Source organism: Homo sapiens, chromosome 2 (assembly GCF_000001405.40).
Source record: "Homo sapiens chromosome 2, GRCh38.p14 Primary Assembly".
Lineage (NCBI taxonomy): Eukaryota > Metazoa > Chordata > Mammalia > Primates > Hominidae > Homo > Homo sapiens.
This window is the reverse complement of record NC_000002.12, coordinates 68,822,024-68,839,117: the sequence shown is the minus strand read 5'-3', so window position 1 is coordinate 68,839,117 and position 17,094 is coordinate 68,822,024. Positions and strand designations below refer to the sequence as shown.

Here is a 17,094-nt window from a genome sequence, read left to right as displayed (position 1 = left end):
TTAAGAAAAGCATGCTCTTCTTTTCCTTTCCTCAGTGATGCTTCCTTAGTGTCAGAATGGTGAGACTGGGGGAGTCCAGCATGAAGGGGCAGGAGAGACTCCTCAGCTGCTGCAGTGTAGGCTGCAGATCCACCTGGAGCCCAGGTGCAATGGGCCCCTGTGCTAGACCCCTCGAGGTCCAGTCCAGGTCCTGGGAGAACTGAACTGTCGTTGGGAGCAAAATCATTACAGTAATAAGGAATGTGCTTGTCTGGCATATCTCTGCAAACCCATCGTAGTAATAGGTGGATGAGTATAGAATCAGGCATTCAGGGTTGCCGGGTCAAGTTAAATACTGCCTCATCACATCCAGCTAATAAAAATATTATTGTTAATAATAATAGCTGAGGCCGGGCACGGTGGCTCAGGCCTGTAATCCCAGCACTTTGGGAGGCCGGGGCGGGTGGATCACGAGGTCAGGAGATTGCGACCATCCTGGCCAACACGGTGAAACCCCGTCTCTACTAAAAATACAAAAAAAAAAAAAAAAAATTAGCTGGGCGTGGTGGTGGGCGCCTGTGGTCCCAGCTACTCGGGAGGCTGAGGCAGGAGAATGGCGTGAACCCGGGGGGCGGAGCTTGCAGTTAGCCGAGATCGCGCCACTGCACTCCAGCCTGGGAGACAGCGAGACTCCGTCTCAATAATATAATAATAATAATAATAATAGCTGAATAAATAATCTCATAATTAACTATTACAAAGAAAAACCAGGTTTTCTGACCCTGATCCTGGGCCTTTCTCATGACATCGATGGGTTAGCAAGACTTTCGAGTTCTGATCTTACTTATCTTCAGTGATAGAAAATTTAAAACAAAATGAAACAACCACCTGTGGTTTCTAGTTATGAAGACACTAAGATGTTTACTCAGCTGCAGGGGAGATTCTAAAAGATTCCGAAAGTTCTGCCTTTTCACTAGAGAAATAAGTGACAGTCTTAAAAGGGTTACTGTTATGGGCTGAATTGTGTCACCCAAAAATTCATATGTTGAAGTCCTAACCCCCAATGTCTCAGAATGTGACTGTATTTAGACATAGAGCCTTCAGAGGTAATTAAGGTAAGATGTGGTCATGATCTCATTAGTGGGCTCCAATCCAATATGACTGGCACCCTTACAAGAAGAGATTGGGATTCAGATGTACACAGTGGTTTGACCATGTGAACACACAGGGAGAGGTCAACTATGCTTCTTCTGCAAGCCAAGGAGAGAGGCCTCAGAAGAAACCAATCCTGCTAACACCCTGATCTCAGATTTCTAGACTCAGAATGGCAAGGAAATAAATTTCTATTGCTCAAGCCATAGAATCTGTGATATACTTCATTATGACAGTCCTAGAAAACTAATGCACCGAGGTTGAGAGTTTTTCTGAAAATTTTAATGATGATACAGAATGCAACCTGATACCAATAGAGTAGAACTGAGTTTCCAACTCAGGTAATTCCTACTCCAGAGTCTTCATGTAAATCGAAAATATTAATTGTTCACCACCTTGGACTGTTTTGAAACAATGGCTTTTAAAGGGCTGTTAAAGAACATTTTGGAGGAAGTTTTTTTAGTGAAGACTGATTTCCAAATGCGTTAAGGGCCACTCCAGGCCTACGTCCTGGTGCAGTAGGCTTCCGGCAGAGGGCGCACATCTGGACTCTGCATCTCCTCCAGGTGCTTCCTCCAAACTAAGTGCTGGTGTGAACACGGGTCCTGAAAGGCAAAATGGAAGGTCCAGGTCTTCAGGCCGCCACGGTTTGTGTCAGCTCATTGCTGCACCGGAAGCTCGGAATGTGCACATTGGGTCAAGGACTTGAGACTTCCCGTAGTGGCTTTGTGTCGTCACAGCCCATTTTCTCAGTCTGCGTCAGAGGCCTAGAGGCTCTCACTATGGCATGGACCCTCATCCTCGAGCCCCACTACTCAGAGGAGCTGGGAAGAATTTCCACCCTTCCTAGTGGCAAGTCTCACTGTGAGAGCGGAGTGCCACCAGGCAAACAGGGCAGAAAGACTGCTTTAAGGAGAATCCTTATATTGGGGGTTATGAAGTGCAATACACCCTCATCCTCACGCTAACACTGGTACCATGTAGCCCAAGCTTGTCTAACCTGCAGCCCGCGGGCTGTGTATGGCCCAGGACAGCTCTGAATGTGGCCCAACGCAAATTTGTAAACTTTCTAAAACATTATGAGATTTTTTTTTCTCATCAGCTATCATCAGTGTGAGTGTATGTTATTTGTGACTCAAGACAATCCTTCTTTTCCAATGTGGCCCAGAGAAGCCAAAAGACTGGACACCCCTGATGTGGCCCTTTCATCCATAGTAGCCTATTTTGTCCTAAAGACGGTCTTGTGCAGTGAGTAGGCCAGGCCTCCCCACTACCACAGTTTACAGGCAAGGAATGTGATATTTCATAGGATGACCCTGACTGGCACCTACATTGCTAGCCAAAGAATGGCACAAAGATGTGGACAGAAGAGACAACCTTAAGCAGCTGACTGCTGGCTCCTGCAACAGTATCATCATGGCATTTGTCCTGGGGTCCCAAGGAAAGAAAACAAATCTGTGGCTGAGGAACAGACTGAGTTGACAAAGCAGCTTCCACAGTAACACAAGGACAAAGGGTGTATGTAGATATGCACGTGGTAGCAGGTTCTACTAAAGGAACCTGGACCGACCATTCTGTAAGTACCCACTACACTCAGGGAAGGAATCTGAGCTTGTATTGTTGGTAGGCAAAGGTTTATAAGGCAGAGAGGAGTGTGGTAGTTCTATTAGATGTGTAGTACACCTGGAAGTAGACAATTAAAAACTTGGAACACTTCTCACAAGGTAATACTGTGTTTAAACTTAACCAGCACCACCCTCCACCTGGACTAGGCTAAGGAAGTCATTTTAGAATTGGAAGTCTGACCTTATAATTTTGCAGCCTACTGAATCTGTCCACTACTAAATCTTTCTGATATTGACTTCATTATCTACAAAAATATCTTCTCATCTACCATTAGTAATAATAACAATAATAATAGTTTCATTTACTAATCAAGAGATTTTTTTAGGTGGGCTTCTTAGAAATCTCTGGGGAGCTAAGACTCCCTTAAACTCCTCTGTCTCTGAGTTTTTACTTAGGTTCCATTAACAACTGTGGCACACCTTAACTTCCTCATTGTCAATGTGCTACACTGTCATTTCTACTCTACTGAGACCATCTGTTGGAGAATCATTCAGCTGCCTCTATGGCTCCTTGATGCGAGCTGAAAATAGTGCCTACTCTAGACTGATGCAGCCTTGCAGGTTTAGGAAGCTGACTGTGCCTTGGCAGGGAAGAAAGCTGGCCTGGAGCTGCTTTGCTTCTTCTTTTTTTTTTTTTTTTTTTTTTTTTGACAGAGTCTCACTCTGACCCCACAGCCAAGATTATCCAGTGGCACAATATTGGCTCACTGCAACCTTCTCCTCTCAGGTTCAAGTGATTCTCCTGCCTCAGCCTCCTGAGTAGTTGGGATTACAGACATGTGCCACCACGCCTAGCTAATTTTTGTATTTTTAGTAGAGACAGGGTTTCACCACGTTGACCAGGCTGGTCTCAAACTCCCTCAAGTGATCTGCCTGCCTTGGCCTCCCGAAGTGCTGGGATTACAAGCGTGAGCCACAGTGCCTGGCAGGAGCAACTTTTTGCCCCCAGCCTTACAACTGTACCTGGGACCTAGAGGTCCTCAACCCCTGGAATTCCGAATGGCGCACTCCCTCTGCCTCCAGCTTCCCTCTGATTCTCTCTGTGGGGTTTCTAACCTCTGGGCCACCCCACCTCACTGCTGGCTGTGCCCTTCAGTTGAGCGGTCCAGGAAGTGCTTCTGCCTTACCTGATAGGCTCTGCATAACTCTCTTTTGCTGCCAGGTGGGAATTTCAATTCTGCTCTTGCCTCTCTCTTCACTTCACTGTGATTTCCAGTAAATCTCCATATTTCAAGTTGGCTAAGCTTGGCTATTAATATGTGCAAGCAGAGTAATTTGCCAAAGAGCCAATTTGACAGATGAGCAATTTACTCAATTACTGGAGATATTTTTGAAGTGTTAACTTTGCCCTAAATCTGCCCCAGCGCAGAAGTTTTCAGAAAAATGTTTCCTCTGGGCACAGGACAATTTGCAGAGTCATTGTGTCGCCAAAGGCACGAGTAAAAGCAGAAGCAAGTGACTTTGTTGTAAAAAGGGAATATAGTGTCCAGCCCTGAAGTTTCTGTTCAGATTAACTCAGTTCATGCAAATAAAGCACTTAGAGCAGTCTGGCAGGCAATAGCTAGCCCCCAATAAATGTCAATGATTATTACTATTATTAGTACTATAATAATTACTACTTTTAATTTAATATATGCATTTAAATTCTATGAATCAAACTATACACTAGATGAAAAATAAAAATAACAATTTAAATGAGGATGCCAGGGAAAGAAAATAGCAATCCTAGTGGTCCGTATTCTTAGTCTCATCATTAACAGTAATTTATAACTACACTCACACCTTAGTGACCAGGGTGTACACATAAAGCTATAAATTGGGGGACCTTATATACAATTTCTGGTGATTTTCAAGGATAATTTTGACCAAAGGGATTTTTATCTTATCGACTTACAAATTAGACTCCCAATATGATGTGGTTGCCCTGACTTCTGAATCTTTGAGGGGGAAGAGGGTGTTATAAACTTATTTAAGCATAGCATCCATTGTTCAAAGAGTATATCGTGTAAAGAAAAGCCTTCCAAGGAGAAGCTTTGGGAAGCACTTCTGTAATGAATTACATTGAGATCTTCAGAGGACAGAAACTTAATCTCGAGTTAGAGACATGCTGTCATTACCAAAACCACGTATAGAGCATCTCTCCTCAGTCAGACAAGAACCAAAGGCAACTGACGTGACTGCTCTCTCCTTGGAAGGACGGCAGGAGCCATGGCGCTGTGAACTCAAACTTCAGGGAGCTTCAGACCCTCCTGCTTGTGACCATACCCATGCCTGGGCTCTTGACTATTTAAATGTGTTTTGAAAACAACTCTCATTATAGAAATGAAAAGCCTGAAGCTTTCTCAGCAAAAAAGGTTTAACTGATGATACTCTACAAAGAATAAATACATCAATCTAATTGAACCAACCAAACCAGTCAATTGTTCTAATAGAATAAATAGTATCAAATAGGTAGGAAGAATATGAGCCATATCTTATGGCTTATACTGGGTGGGGTGGCCCAGAGGTTAGGAGGTTTAACTGATGATACTCTACAAAAAATAAATAGATAAATCTAATTGAACGGACCAAACCAGACAATTTTTCTAATAGAGTAAATAGTATCAAATAGGAAGAATATGAACCATTATCTTCAATGTGAATGTGGACTAGTTATTACTTTTATGGTCATTACTTAGACACAGGTTGTTTCCTTTGACACTCAAGCCACTGTGGTTGGATGATCCAATACTAGAATCAGGTAGACGTGGTTTTGATGCTTGCTTCTGTCAGTTATATTTTCTCAGTTCTAAGTAGCCATCAATTTGTAAGATGTTCCATTTTAAATGCACCAATCAACTATAAAATACATACTGAATTTCAAAAGTATTAGAATGAAAAAAAAATGTCTCTTAGAAATGGGATATGAACTGTGAGCCTGAGCAGATTACTTAACCTTTCTAAGTCTCGGTTTTCTCATCTGTAAAATGGGGATGATAGTAGCCGCTGCCTCATAGTTTTCTGTGAAAATTAATTAATACATTGCAGGTAAAGCAGAAAACACCATGCTTAGGGAATTGAAAGCACTCAATATTTGCATTTTTAAAAACTATGTCTTTAGTCAAGCATAACTCTTTTAAAATGCCATTAACTATAGGAGGAAGAATCAGTGTTGTAACATTTTGCTATTCCTTGAGTACAATCTATGTGTACTAAGAAAAGACATCATTGGTAACACAACTACCAAGCTTATCTAGGGATCAGCTATCTCAAGATAGGCATAGCAATTGCTGGATGCCATATGATTTCCATGTATTTTATTTCTCCAATAGCACTCACATTCTTTGGGAGCTGTATTCTAATACTTTCAGAAAAGCCATGGGAACACACCAGAGTGACTGCTCGAGTAAATAAGTAGCATAAACAGCAAGCCAAACCATTGATGTACACATCACTGGGCCCAATACTATGAAATCCCACATAAGAAACTTGAAAGTGAAAGCTGGAATTCTGAGGATACTGGTTTTGCTTAATAAACAGCATTTCAACAGGTGAGTCAACTTAGTATTGCAGAGCGTGGTGTTGGCTTTTTTCTGATTGGGGCTAGTTTTTCATTAAAGGCAATATCTAGCACTGAAATAGACAACAGTACCTAGTCCCAACCACCTGCTTCCTGGTGAGTCAGTTCAAGTTCTCACAATTGTGTCTGTGTCCAGCCCCAGACCAGCTGAGCTGGGTCATGTGCTCACCCAGATCTTTCCCTAAAAGAGGACTGACAGGGAAACCACTGCCCTCTTTCACATCCAGGGAAGGAGTGACTTCTAAGAGAAATAGGGTTTTGTTTCCTCGCCAAAGTGTCAGGAATGATCAAATGTGAAAAACAGAGGGCAAATCCGTGTTAGTGCGTCATTAGGTGGGTGTTTCTAAAGTGATCACATGGTAACACTTCCTCTGCTCGCTGACCCACCAGGAGTGTTTTGGAAACAGTCAGCCCACGTGAAATGGGCTGAAGACATCCCAGTGTCCTCCTCTCAGAAGCTGTGAGCCCCAGTCAGGGCGGGCTGTCTTAGCCTGTAAACGTCCACAGGGCCAGAGCCTATATTTAACTGATGACACATCTTACAAGGGGGAAGGGAAGGGGAATCTGTGACCCTGTTTCCTCCCACCAACACCAGCCCATTCACACAGAGTCTTTTGAAGGTCTCACTGGCAGTACTCCTTCAAACTTACCCAATATGCCCCACTCAAAGGCCCTCCCAGGCTTGTGGGAACAGAAAGATTTCTTGAAATGGAAAGGAGGGTTGTGAATGAGTGAGGAAATTCAGCATGGAGATATGAGAGGCTCACTCTTTAGCCACACGGAACCGGGGACTCCAAGGCAACCCCATTCCCAGAGTTCTTTCGAGGGTGGGGCTAATGACATGGGACCAAGAATTGACTCCAGGAAAGGGCATGGTGATGTGTGGCCTCCCAGACAGCCTCAGAGCAAGCAGGTGGATTTGACTTAGGCTGTGGGGAAGGCAACAGCCTCTGTATATTTTTCCATCTTGATGCTGAGTCAGACAAGGCAGTTAGTGGTTCTTTCCAGAATCCCTGCCAGCCTTTTAAAGAAAAAGTCTTTGCAGATTTTGCTTTAGTCCATCTCTGCCAAGGGGTCATTTTCTATGTTGTACTTCCTCCCTATGTGAGGGCAAGGATAATGTAGCCTTGTGTAGACTGTATATACGCTTCAGTTCCTAGCTAAGCCACATTGAGACCTCAGTAAAACAGGTTTGATTGCAATCAGAAAAGAGTTGATTTGAGATTTAAAGGAAATGACATGGATACAGTGCTCACCAGAAAGTATTAAAATGGTATTTGTTGCTTATTATTGGTAGTTATTGTCATGATATTGCTACTGATGCTGAACAAAGACCCAAGAACCAGGGTGATGTTTAGCATGGGCTGGCCTCAGCAGGACTGAAAGGACATCAATAAGGGAGAACAGAGAGAAGGAAGGAGGACAAGTGCCAACTTTGAGCAGGTATCAGGTGTATGTGGGGGCAAACCATTTCTCCGTCCACCCTGATGATGAGTCCCCGTTTCCCTTTTTAAGGCCTGATTTTTGCACCCTCACCCCACCTAAGGCAGCCAGGGGCCCACACTGCAATACTCCTAGGTAACATCCATACTTTTTTTTTTTTTTTGAGATAGAGTCTCCCACTGTCACCCAGGTTGGAGTGCAATGGCGAGATCTCGGCTCACTGCAACCTCCGCCTCTCAGGTTCACGTGATTCTCCTGCCTCAGCCTCCAGAGTAGCTGGGATTACAGGCGCACACCACCATACCCGGCTAATTTTTTGTATTTTTGGTAGAGACAGGGTTTCACTATGTTGGCCAGACTGGCGTCGAACTCCTGACCTCGTGATCTGCCCGCCTCGGCCTCCCAAAGTGCTGGGATTACAGGCGTGAGCCACTGTGCCTGGCCAACATCCATACTCTTGATCTGTTCCTCCACCCACAGCACTGCTTATCTGGCCAGGCTCTCGTTCCTTCATTACACAGCTTTCTGCTGGGAAGCAGATAACTAATATAAAGATGATACTAACGATTAATGGAGGCTTCATGGAGTCTCCCAGAAATATCACGTTTGTGGTTAATATTCCAAAGGCTACTGGTAGGGATTTCTCAATCTAACATGAGTCTGAAAAAGAGATGATTTTCATCAGAGCTATTCTCGGGACTCTTTAAATCAGGCCCTCAAGTGCTTATCTTCTTTGCCTATGTTTAGAGTCAATCCTTAAAGCAAGTAAACAGTGTCCCCATATATTTAGGAATTCTCAAAATCCTTGGATTTGTTCATACTAAGCTACTGTTATACTCATTTTTTAAAAAAATTTTGGGCTCACTTTTCACCATCTGCATAATGGGCATATAACATAAATCCATTCTGTATCACTTAATCATGTCTTATCCTAGATGAATAAACACATGAAAAATCAGCCTGTAAATCAGAGAATGTAGCTGTGTTAACTGGAGATGGGAAAGGGGAGCAGGTAGAATTAATATTACCATTAGTCATGACTAAAGCCAAACTTAGCAGTTTTAAAACTATTTAACCATCCTGATTGTATATTGGAATCAACTGGGAATTTTTCTTTTAACTACCAATTCTTAGGCCCCATCCCGAAAGATTCTGATTCAATTGATATGAAGTAAGATCTGAGCATCAGAATTTTTGTTTACAGTTCCTAAGGTAATTCTCTTGTGCCACCAAGACTGAGAACCAGTGTTTTAAAATAGTATTGGGAATACACAGTAGGTGAAAAACTGGCATCATATTAGGTGGGTCTTGGTTGTGATCATGAGCTGAGGAGAGCTCTATATTCTGGAAGCACTCAGCAACGGATGTTCAATGGGGTTCACACCATGGTTGCAGTTTGGGGGAAAGAACCCTTGGAGAGAAAGCAAGAACCACAAGAATCACTGAATCATGGGTTAGAGGAGCCCTCCAAAATCACCTCCTTCAATCCTCTTCCTAATTTCTGTGTGAGCACTGGCCATTTAATTTATGTTTCTGGGCCTCAGTTCCCCTGTCCGTTAAATAAACAGGTTGAATTAAATACAATCAGAGTGTTTTCCAGTTTTTATCCTATGATTCTAAGAGAGTTTCCAGCATCAGAAGAAATAGAAGCTACAGTTACACAGCTGTGTCGATATTCTCTCCTGGGACATCATCTGAGCCACAAGCCCCCTGGCTCCAGCCTCTCTGCTGCTGCTGGCCAGATGCCACCCTGAGCTTCTGAGTGGCAGCTGGAGCTCCACCCTCAGGGCCTCCCTCCCATCATTCTCTGGCAGGATGAAAGGTTTTGTGTAATTCTTGTAAATGCAGCCCATTTTAATTGCAGAAGCAGCCTCCAAGTGTTTTCTCTGCTCTCCGGCAAGCACGTGACCTGACCACTGCTGCTATCTGGAAAGGAAGTGGTGGAATGTGGAAGTTTACAGGGCGTTCGTGTACACGCATCTTCTGGCCCAGAGCCCGTGGAATCCAGCCAGCAGTTGCTGTGCCACTGTGTTCTCTGGCCTCCCCCTCTCAGCGGCCTTGGGCAGCCTGGGAATCTCCGGCTTCGTGCTTTTCTGAGGGGACAGGCCTTTGAGCAGAGTTTTAGGAAGTTGGTCAAAACAACAACAACAACAAAATGTTTATAGTTTACATCCTTTGCAGCTGTCTATGCACTAGGAATGCCACACATGGTCTCTCCAGACTGCAGGCTCTGAACAGAATCCACTGGAAGGGGATCATCCCAGCCAATACCCTAGTACAAATTGTCCTATCCAGTGTACAGACTTACTGGAAAAGCATCATATCTGCCCCAAACTTAAGATAAGAGTACCCTGATAAGGGACATGCTTGAGGCTGTGACAGAAAAGGAGTTTGGGAGGGAAGAGGGCAAGGGGTTTTCAAATGCACATTGATGACCTTTCTGGGTTCTCAGCTCATGAGCAAAGAGGAGAGCGGCTAACATAAAGGTGAGGGTGTGGCTGGGAAAAAGGCAAAGTTGATGGAGTCCTTTCCATGGAAGGGCTCTGAAAGTACAGGTAGGAGCTGCAGAGTCCAACAGCACCCCTTGACACAGGTCAGTCTCCAGATATTGCCTTCTAGAACCTGGTCCTTTGGTCCAGGTGAGACCTGGAGCTACCCTGTCATGCAATCACATGCATGCCTTTTGAGGGCATTAAAACAGTGCCATCAGACTCCAGATCTTCTTTTCTGGCCCTCAGGGGCTCCCTCCTCCCAGCCTTTTTCAGCAGGATGAAGGGGTTTGTGTGACCCTTGCACTCATAAGGTCCCAGGGTCCTAAAAAAAAACCCTGTTTCTTGTCTTCTCCTTGTATGCAAGGTGGCACAGGAGCAAATAGTAGCAACTTAAGCGAGCCAAACTCTTCTCTTGATTGTGAAGAGGGATTGACACTTGCAGGCTAGGCTGTCTAGTGCTTCTGAGGCCAACAGCTGCTCTGTTGTCTCATAATACTGGTGGAAAAAAGTAGAATGAGAGACACTGCCAGACCAGGAGGTAGTTGGGATTCAAACGTGGCACTTCCACTCAGCACGAGCTCTGGCTCCCGGACCCAGTAAGGGCCAATGACACGGGCCTCAAAACAGACTTGAGAGCCTCCTCTTTGCATCTTCAGACAAATGTTTTCTTTGGAAATTGTGACAGCAGCCACTTCCATATTCAACTCTGTTTTAGCCCCCAAAGAGTCAGTGTGAGGAATCCGTGGGAGAACACAAGGATATGTGCCTGGCAGAAATGCAGGCACTCGCCAACGTAAGTCAGGTGGTCAATAAGTGTTTCCATGTTTGCTATCCTGTTATTTAAAAACACCTAAAACTCAGGAATCCCAATATTTTATTGCTTTTCTTACGAATGTTCCAGATGAGTTTCCCCTCAATCTTCTGCAAGCAGGCCTAGATAGGAATGCCGTAGGAGTCGCCCTCCTTCTCCATCAATCTGGTCCTCAAAGGGGCTGGCGTTGGTAGAGCAGGGCCTGAGTAGCAGGACCAAGAAATGCTGATGCTACTGTCTGTACTTTCACTCTGTGGGTAATAAGTCCTGGCCATAGGAAGGGAGGACTAACCAGAGTGAAGAAGACAGAGAGAAAAAGGAATGACAGAGGAGGCCCATGTGCTGGGAAGGCTAAACTCTCACTGCAGCAACCATAGATTCCAAACCACTGATTAAGCCACGGGGCTTCAAGAGTTCAAGCACATTTATGGGAGCAGTGGGATGAAAGATATAAATTTGGTACAGGTAATACCTCCTGGGCAACTGGGTCAGGGGTCTCCGGAGCTGAAAGCACACTTGGGAACATCTATTGATCTTTGTTTTTATCTCATCATTATTCAGTTACTGTTCTGTGAATTTTATAATATACATTATGGAGTACTATAGTAGTACATATATATAATTTATAAATAAATAAATATATTGGGGGGTGTATGCTCAAACATTTTCTGTTGATGAGTTACCCAGTCAAAAGAGCTTGGAGACCATCCAATTAGAATGATAACAACAAAAAAAGACTCAACCAACCTACCTAGAGGTCCGGGGCCTGACCAGGGCCTCTGCCAAGCTGGCTTGACATAGAAGGGGAAGAATCAGCTGTCCACTGGGAAAGCCCCTCTCCCACCTATCATCTAGTGCCTGTTGTCCCTTTAAGGGTAAAATCACTTGCATTTTGGTGAAACAGGAAAAAAGAAACTATTATCATGAAAATTACTGTCTAAAACCACAACAAATCCTATCATAGTAGGAAGCGTTTGTTCCCAGGCCCTCCATACACAATTAAAAAGCAAGTAGGGACTAGATTACCTCTTCTCATGTAATTCCCACAGCAATTGTGTGAAATACAGAAGAAATGGGGGCTCCGCAAGTATAGAAACACCTGTCCCTGAAAGGCAAGTCAGGACTGAAATTCAGCCCATGCCCTGCTCAGCAAGCCACCTGCCCCAAGGAAGGAGTGTCTTTTGCTAATTCTCACAAAGGTGCCGTATGGATTAGCAATAGCCTTTTTTTTTTAATTTTTGCTTTATTTGAATATAATTTTCTCATCAATTTTGCTTGCATAAATACAGTTTGTTGCTTGTTCTGGTTTAGTCTAATAGTAAGTTGGAGAAGTCCTGGAGAATGGGCATCCTGGTGGGGTGGCAGAATGGGGTTCTCGCTTCAGCAGATGCAGCCCCCCAAACACAGCACTCCATGGATGAGGACTCAAAAGATGAATGTCATTTTCTGCCCCTGTGTCTCAGAGATGCCCTGAGGCTGTCTGACAAGGTGAGCTGTTCCACACAAAAAACAAAGAATTAATCACACCTTAGTCCAGCCTGAGTTGGGGCCAGTCTATTGCCTGGGTCCTGAGATGTGCTGCCTCAAATGTCTTCACTGGACGTGGTCATGCCTGAGACCAGAATGGAATAAAACAATCCATTTGAATACAGCGATGGATGGTCAGAGATGTCCACACACATCTCTGCTCACCCTCACCTTCCTGCAAACTCCATTCATTTATTTATGGGGAAATTTGATGTTTCCCTCAAATGTCCTTTCCCTCTCAGAGAATAATTTTGTTTCCCCGTCATCAGATAGCACTGAGAAAGGGGCCAGAGTTGGGCCTCTCTGGGGCTGTCCCTGCAGTACTCCTGGGACCCTTAAGCCTCGGTCTTGGGTTCCTTCATGGATTTGACAAATTCCTTGACTTCTTCTTCCAAGGCCTTGTTCCTCTTCTCAACATCCTCCCGGGAGCGCTCCATGTTGCGGAGGCTGATCTCTAGGGCTGCAGACTTCTTCTTTTCCTTCTCCAGTTCTTCATTGAGCCTCACCACTTTAGCCCAAACGTCATAATTTTCCTTCTCAAGGCTACAAGGAAGGAAAGAAAAGAATGAAAGAATGTGGCATTCATTCTAGACTCTTCCTTCCCCCTTGCTCACAACCTGCTGCTCATTTTCCTTTCAAATCACAAGACCCTTATCCAACCTCTCAGCTATGTCCCTCTTCCCACATGAAGATGTCCCAGAAAACCTGAATCCCCACAGTACTTCTGAGCCCCTCATTTGTCATTTTTTTTTGGATGGAGTCTCGCTCTGTTGCCCAGGCTGGATGGAGTGCAGTGACGCGATCTCGGCTCACTGCAAGCTCCGCCTCCCAGGTTCACACCATTCTCCTTCCTCAGCCTCCCTAGTAGCTGGGACTGCAGATGCCCGCCACCATACCCAGCTAATTTTTTCTTTTTTTTTGTATTTTTAGTAGAGACAGGGTTTCACCATGTTAGCCAGGATGGTCTTGATCTCCTGACCTCGTGATCCGCCTGCCTTGGCCTCCCAAAGTGCTGAGATTACAGGCATGAACCACCACACCCAGCCCCCTCATTTGTCATTTAACACCATCTTGTGACATCTATTGTGTTTTTTCTCATGTCGTTTAATGTTTTGTATCTTCAACCGGATAACAAAGTCTTTGAAAGGAGGGACCAGTTCTAACAGATCTATATATTCACTCCCACAGCACCTTGTATCAGTCCTGGAAGCCCCATCCATATTTCAAATTTCTCACACCTCTGTGCTCATGAGTGCCTCCTCATCCTGTGTCAATGGAGAGCATAGATCAGCACCCTTTCTTATTAAGGATCTCCTGGGGACCAAGATTTGGAGAAACAGAGGGAACTGCCCTTTGGGGAGCTGTGGTCCTGGCAGTCTCACCCTCACTTCTGAATCCCATGCCAGGTGAAAAATCTGTGGGATTCCTGAATTGCTAGGATTTTAATCGTTACTGGCCCAAATCCTAATGTAGTGCCAGGTGGCCCCCTGCCAGGCTGTGCTGAATTAACCCTTAGGAATGAGTGTACACATGCCGATTGTGTGACTGGAAATTTGTTTCAGAATTTCATTCTGTAGAGTGTGCCTCCCTTCTCCCCAAATGGCCTGCCCATTTGCACAAGGGAGACTTGAGCTCCCATGTGAGCCCAAAACTTGGGTTCTATCTTCAAGGGCCTTGGCCTATTCTGTGGGTAACAATCCATCTTCAGAACTTTGCTTACCCCCACCTATCTCTTCTTAAAGCTAAATTGATCTCATTCCATCTTTTTTTTTTCCTTTTGTTTTTTTTGAGACGGAGTCTCGCTCTGTTGCCCAGGCTGGAGTGCAGTGGCATGATCTCGGCTCACTGCAAGCTCCGCCTCCCAGGTTCACACCATTCTCCTGCCTCAGCCTCCTGAGTAGCTGGGACTACAGGCACCCACCATCATGCCTGGCTAATGTTTTATATTTTTAGGAGAGACATGGTTTCACCGTGTTAGCCAGGATGGTCTCGATCTCCTGACCTCGTGATTCACCCACCTTGGCCTCCCAAAGTGCTGGGATTACAAGCGTGAGCCACCACGCCCGGCCATTCCTTCTGACCCTCTCATTACAAATCTACTTTTCTTCTCCAAGTTCTCTGTACCCCTCTGGTTCTGGAAGAAATTCCAAGTGAGGCACTGTGCTAGATCCTGACCATGGGTTCCAGTGGAAGGTAGAATCTGTGTGGGCTCAGGAGCCTGGGATGGGAGGCTTCCCCAACTGATGGATTCAGAGGACTCTGACACATCTGTGGCAGCCAGTTCTTTTTCTACCCTGTTGAAGATACTCATATGTGAGGGCAGTGTGTGCCTTCTATGGGACTGCTTTGATCACTGCCAAGATGTCACAGAAGTCTTTAATTCTACAAATGATTGGTTTCAGGTTCTTAGACAAACAAGCTACATTTTGCTTCTGGATGGCAGCTCTCTGTGTGGAACAATGAATGAGGGTTCAAAGTAGTCTTCCCTTCAGATACCTGAGTCTGCATGGACTAAGACGTAGCCATAAATCTAAGAGCCCACGAATTCACATTTCACTGCCTCATGACTAGTGCTGATATGGGAACAGCTGGATCAAGGCTTTCTCTCCTGAAAACAAATTTGCCAGCCAATCAGTAGTGTGAAAAATATTTCAAGAAAATACTCTATCTACCCAAGAGAACAAATTGTGTGCACAGATCTTGGGAATTTGCATGTGACAGAGGCAATAGCTGCCTAACTGGCCTCCCGCTTCTGTTTGCCCCCTGCAGCCGGTGCTCAATGGGAAGCCAGTGAGCCAATGAAGCATAAACCAGGTTGAAACCACCCCGAAGCTTCTTACTCAGGCTTTGCAGTGGCTGACAAAACCCTACTGCGTCCTGGCCTCCTGTACTTCTCCACCCTCATCTCCTCTAATCACTCTCCCTGGCCCCAGGCAGCTTCCACTCTTCCTGGGTGGGACCATGGGGGACTGCTCTTTTCTCATGGCTCGGCACTGGCCATAGTCATCTCCCATCTACACACCTGACTTGCTCCTCATCTCCTTCAGGCCTTTACTTACCTGCTGCCTTCTCACGGAGGCCTTCCCTGACCCCCCTATTTTACATTGGAACCCATTCCTTGAACTTTCCAACCTCCTGACCCACTTTATTTTTCTCCACAGCACTTGCCATCAGCTGACATAACATATATTTTATTATATATTTGTATTGTCCATCTGTCCCCACTAGAAGTTCTGTAAGTGCAGGGACTTTTGTCTCTTTTGTTCAGTGCTATACCCTAACAACTGGAATGTGCCTGGCACAGAGGAGGGGCTCGAGGAATATTTGCAGAATCAATGAATGACCTTAACATAAAAAAAATTAATTTCCTTTAAATTAATTAAAGCATGTTGATTCTTGAACCACTGTTTGGAAATTATTGATTAAACTACTTAAGCTAGATATTTACATTTCCTAAATCTAGTTTAAAGTTTAGAGTGTTCACCAATTTAGCTATCTCATTGTTCCCTTTACTCTTTTCTTTCTAGGCCTGCTATAGATTACTGTCTTCCCCAAATTGAAGCTTTATGATGTGACTTCTCTGGCGGATGGGAACAATCCCTCTTGTCTCTAAAGATGGAAGCCAAGTGCCTCTCAGTGCCCCTCTGTCTGACTTACTTTTTAATCTGTTCCTCATACATTTGCTTCTGTGTTTCTATTTCCTTTCGTAGCTCTTGGACCATCCTCTGCAAAGAATCAATTTCCTCTTCTCCAGAGTTCTTTTTTCCAGGCCCAGTTTCAGAGTTTGGACTGGCAAGAGTATCTCCCTTGGAGTCACAGGCTTGGGAAGAGAGTGCACTGGCTTCCTCCCCAGGGGACCCTGGCAGGGAAGGGACGTTATCGTAGGTGGAAGTCCGTTGGGAGTCAGAAAGTTGGCGCAAGTCTTGAGACATCGTTCTCCTGTGCCCTTCCCCTGCCTTAGCCTCTGAGGAAGGCGACCAGAATTCATTTTTAAAGATCTCCATTTTGCTGCTGTTGGCACCCTGAAAAGCTGATGTCAAGAAACATTTCCGGTTAGGGAGTGTTTGAGTCCTTTTACGAGATTGCATTTTCCAGTCTCCTGGCTTTTCCCTGGGTACTTTGCTGCTGTCCTCCGGAAACGCATCGCTCGGCTGCTGTCCGGTGGGGCTGGTTGTATCAGAGTCGCTTGTCTAGAAAAGAAATGGCCATGGATGTCACATGGGGTTTTCACCTCTGTGTGTCATGCTCCCAAGGTATGGATTAGAGACCCCAAAACAAAAGTTTCCTGGTAGCATACCTATGAAATTCTTAATGTATCACATTACTTGATTATCTGCATTAGCATTTTTTTCCAAAAGGATATTGCAGTAAAGGAACCATGTTCTAGAGATGAAGTCTCACCAAAATCAAGTGTTTGTTTGTGGTTAAAGAGTCCTAAAGTAGGATCCTTATGTAATCTTAGAATGGGTGGTCTTTATAACTATGACTGAAAACCCAGAAGCCGTA

The 17,094-nt window shown here is 44.8% G+C and overlaps 1 protein-coding gene and 2 long non-coding RNA genes across 23 annotated transcripts in view, besides 3 other annotated features; 1 reads left to right on the top strand and 2 right to left on the bottom strand.

Moving 5' to 3' along the window:
• Window positions 1-1,391: 1,391 nt before the first annotated feature.
• LINC01888 (long intergenic non-protein coding RNA 1888) lies at window positions 1,392-7,110 on the bottom strand. 2 transcript variants are annotated; one of them, NR_183895.1, is made up of 2 exons: window positions 6,966-7,110; window positions 1,392-1,736 (listed from the first exon to the last, which is right to left on the bottom strand). It is a non-coding gene; the product is annotated as a long intergenic non-protein coding RNA 1888 (long non-coding RNA). The 2 variants fall into 2 exon arrangements; NR_183894.1 differs by lacking the exon at window positions 6,966-7,110 and adding an exon at window positions 3,884-4,197.
• On the top strand, window positions 1,911-16,263 carry LINC01890 (long intergenic non-protein coding RNA 1890). Of its 10 annotated transcripts, none has more exons than NR_183884.1 (4): window positions 1,911-2,707; window positions 6,068-6,286; window positions 7,613-7,758; window positions 16,116-16,263. It is a non-coding gene; the product is annotated as a long intergenic non-protein coding RNA 1890 (long non-coding RNA). The 10 variants fall into 10 exon arrangements; NR_183885.1 differs by lacking the exon at window positions 16,116-16,263 and adding an exon at window positions 9,623-9,914; NR_183886.1 differs by lacking the exon at window positions 16,116-16,263 and adding an exon at window positions 9,110-9,342.
• Window positions 9,200-9,699: an enhancer, noted in NCBI's record as "H3K4me1 hESC enhancer chr2:69056551-69057050 (GRCh37/hg19 assembly coordinates)". NCBI's record gives its function as "activates a minimal SCP1, AML or CMV promoter by ChIP-STARR-seq in naive H9 embryonic stem cells {active_cell/tissue: H9 hESC(naive)}" and the evidence as "EXISTENCE:reporter gene assay evidence [ECO:0000049][PMID:30033119]".
• Window positions 9,200-10,016: a biological region, named in NCBI's record as "CRISPRi-validated cis-regulatory element chr2.2482". NCBI's record gives its function as "regulatory_interactions: AAK1".
• Window positions 9,385-10,016: a transcriptional cis regulatory region, noted in NCBI's record as "candidate enhancer chr2.2482 targeted for multiplex CRISPR interference". NCBI's record gives its function as "positively regulates AAK1 gene expression with high confidence in K562 cells {active_cell/tissue: K562}" and the evidence as "EXISTENCE:mutant phenotype evidence [ECO:0000015][PMID:30612741]".
• The window catches only part of ARHGAP25 (Rho GTPase activating protein 25), a 116,290-nt gene continuing 111,480 nt past the window's right edge, over window positions 12,285-17,094 (bottom strand). For all 11 annotated transcript variants that reach the window (XM_011533207.4, NM_001007231.3, NM_001364819.1 and 8 more), the window contains 2 exons: window positions 16,246-16,778; window positions 12,285-13,131 (listed from right to left, as the gene is read on the bottom strand). In XM_011533207.4, the coding sequence (XP_011531509.1) occupies window positions 12,924-13,131; window positions 16,246-16,778 (741 nt within the window). In that variant the 3' untranslated portion in view covers window positions 12,285-12,923. The remainder of the gene's footprint in view (window positions 13,132-16,245; window positions 16,779-17,094) is intronic.